At 35.8% G+C, this 3,440-nt stretch overlaps 1 protein-coding gene across 1 annotated transcript; it reads left to right on the forward strand.

The window, feature by feature from the left end:
* The first annotated feature begins 1,976 nt into the window (after window positions 1-1,976).
* On the forward strand, window positions 1,977-2,921 carry OR4A15 (olfactory receptor family 4 subfamily A member 15). Its single transcript, NM_001005275.2, has one exon. The coding sequence runs from the start codon at window positions 1,977-1,979 to the stop codon at window positions 2,919-2,921; it is 945 nt and encodes a 314-aa protein (NP_001005275.2).
* Window positions 2,922-3,440: the final 519 nt, after the last annotated feature.

Below are 3,440 nucleotides of genomic sequence, written 5' to 3' on the forward strand. Positions count from 1 at the left end.
ATGCTGAGTTACCTTTCTGGCCACCTCCTGATTGACAGCTCTGGGAATCTGATATTCTTCTGCTCTCAACTAATTCAGTTCCCTCACCCAAAATGCTTACCAATATTTCATTCAGCTTGTGGCCTTTACTTATTTCCATATGCCTTTACTAAGTTATCTCTTATTTTATTTATGTCTACACTTTTACTCTCCCTCTGATCCTTAAAGATGTCTTGGCTTGCTTTGATGCATAGATAGAATAATCTCCTGACTATCACAAATGATCATCACTAACACAGAGCATATTTAAAATAATCCTGCTAATACAAACTTGTGTATATGACACATAAAATTGGGCCTGGATCACATCTGAAAGGCCCAACAGATTATTTGATTTATTTTACTCAAGTGAGAATGAATATTTTGTATTTGACATAAATTCCAATAACCAAGAACTAATAATATGAAAAAACCCTTATGTATTAATTACTTTAATAATTAAATAACCTTTAGCACATACTAAACCTGGTTTATATAAAAATGGTCTACCAGCAAAAATGTCATCATGTTGTCTAGGATACAGGTGTCAATGATAAGAATCCAGAAACTCATTTATCTGGAAGGATCATTACATTTCCAGTAAGGAATTATAAGGTGGGATGTGATTTTCCTGAGATGACTAAGCTCAAAATCAACTAATATTTTCAGATTTTTAGTATAGAATTATTTCTACTACACCATGATTTTGCCTGGAGTCTTTATTTTTGACATTCCAAATTAATCTGTAATTAGCCATGATCAGTCTTAAACAAATGCGAAAAGTGGGGAAAATGTCTCTGCATTGCCCCCCGACTTTGATTTGTATTACCTGTTTTTTTCCTCTAATGACCTACGTTGTAATAGATGAAAATTCAGTGTGTGTGTGTGTGTATATGTGTGTGTGTGTGTGTAGTTTCTTTTCAAATAAAACTTTGCTTTCATTGGACTTTCATGGCTGGCAAGATTTTAATACATTTATTTCCACATACTTGCTCTCTGAGCTTTGAAATTTGGTTTAATAAAATTTAATAAACATTTAGTGAGCACTCACAATGTGTCTGGTTCTTTGAGCGAGTTATTCCTGGATTCTAGGAGCTCACAGTACAGTGTTTCAGAATGGCAAATATCTAAACATTAGCCTGTAATCTTATGCTCCATATACTGGGTACTACTTTACATAAATATATAAGTAAAGTCAACACATATGAGGCTGTTTTCTTGATAGATCATGGAAGGACAAAATCTGTTCAAAAAAAGATAAATACTATATAAATATCAAAAATACAGTCTTTTTAAGGGATGTTCTCAAGAAAGCAGCTCTATTTTGATCTGTAATAGATTATCTCACATATATATTCACTCACATATACCTTCCAGTTAAAATCATGAAGCCTCATCATTGCAGTTAAAGCAATACATTTGTATTTTTTAAAATTCTTTTTTTAAAATTATACTTTAAGTTCTGGAGTATATGTGCAGAATGTGCAGCTTTGTTACATAGGTACACATGTGCCATGCTGATTTGCTGCACCAATCAACCCATCACCTGCATAGCGTATTTCTCCTAATGCTATCACTCCCCTAGCTCCCCACTCCCCAACAGGCCCCGGTGTGTGATGTTCCCCTCCCTGTGTCCATGTGTTCTCCTTGTTCAACTCCCACTTATGAATGAGAACATGCAGTGTTTTGTTTTCTGTTCTTGTGATAGTTTGCTGAGAATGATGGTTTCCCGCTTCATCCATGTCCCATTTGTAAAAATGAAAAGGATAATTGTGGGAGGATATTCTAAACACTTCTTTTCTAATGAGCTGCTCTGTGTGAGGCCCTGGTCAGGGAAAACGTGGTCGATAAGGCATCACATTTTTGACATGGAGCTTCTGACAAATAATCTCAAATTTATCACTGACCCTTTTGTTTGTAGGCTCCGACACCTGAGTCCAACACCTTCAGAAGAACACATGAAAAATAAGAACAATGTGACTGAATTTATCCTCTTAGGGCTCACACAGAACCCTGAGGGGCAAAAGGTTTTATTTGTCACATTCTTACTAATCTACATGGTGACGATAATGGGCAACCTGCTTATCATAGTGACCATCATGGCCAGCCAGTCCCTGGGTTCCCCCATGTACTTTTTTCTGGCTTCTTTATCATTCATAGATACCGTCTATTCTACTGCATTTGCTCCCAAAATGATTGTTGACTTGCTCTCTGAGAAAAAGACCATTTCCTTTCAGGGTTGTATGGCTCAACTTTTTATGGATCATTTATTTGCTGGTGCTGAAGTCATTCTTCTGGTGGTAATGGCCTATGATCGATACATGGCCATCTGTAAGCCTCTTCATGAATTGATCACCATGAATCGTCGAGTCTGTGTTCTTATGCTGTTGGCGGCCTGGATTGGAGGCTTTCTTCACTCATTGGTTCAATTTCTCTTTATTTATCAGCTCCCTTTCTGTGGACCCAATGTCATTGACAACTTCCTGTGTGATTTGTATCCCTTATTGAAACTTGCTTGCACCAATACCTATGTCACTGGGCTTTCTATGATAGCTAATGGAGGAGCGATTTGTGCTGTCACCTTCTTCACTATCCTGCTTTCCTATGGGGTCATATTACACTCTCTTAAGACTCAGAGTTTGGAAGGGAAACGAAAAGCTTTCTACACCTGTGCATCCCACGTCACTGTGGTCATTTTATTCTTTGTCCCCTGTATCTTCTTGTATGCAAGGCCCAATTCTACTTTTCCCATTGATAAATCCATGACTGTAGTTCTAACTTTTATAACTCCCATGCTGAACCCACTAATCTATACCCTGAAGAATGCAGAAATGAAAAGTGCCATGAGGAAACTTTGGAGTAAAAAAGTAAGCTTAGCTGGGAAATGGCTGTATCACTCATGAGAATGTGACATTCATTCTTTCACAGAAGCAAGGAACAATTTCACTATCCTATCTGATTACATTTCTGTTATCATTTCCTTTTAGTTTTTTAGCTTACTTATTCTGAAGCAGTCATATAAATTAATATTTGTCTAGGTGTAATATGTTACACCCATTACAGACCAAGAAAATTGCATAGGTTTAACAGTGTGTACTGTTTTTGTAATCATACTGTGTTAAGATTCTTTGGTTGATAACAATATTTAGTTTTATTTCAAGCTCTTTTTTATTTAAAAATCATTTATTTATTTTTCTTTTTTATGTATTTTAAATTGTCAATAATTGGGTATATTTATGGAGTACAATGTGATGTTCTGATCTATGTATACATTATAGAAAGATTTCATCAGTCTAATGAATATATCTGTCACCTCCCCAACATTGATTTTTTGTGTGTGGTAACATCAAAAATCTATTCTTCTTTATGGTCTGTGATATCTTCCTGGCACATATAAATGTGATCTAAGAAAATTTGTTCCC

The sequence above is a fragment of the Homo sapiens genome, chromosome 11 (assembly GCF_000001405.40).
Source record: "Homo sapiens chromosome 11, GRCh38.p14 Primary Assembly".
Lineage (NCBI taxonomy): Eukaryota > Metazoa > Chordata > Mammalia > Primates > Hominidae > Homo > Homo sapiens.

Bases quoted from the DNA above. Each gene is read 5' to 3' on its own strand.
- OR4A15 (NM_001005275.2), top strand. From the start codon at position 1,977: ATGAAAAATAAGAACAATGTGACTGAATTTATCCTCTTAGGGCTCACA.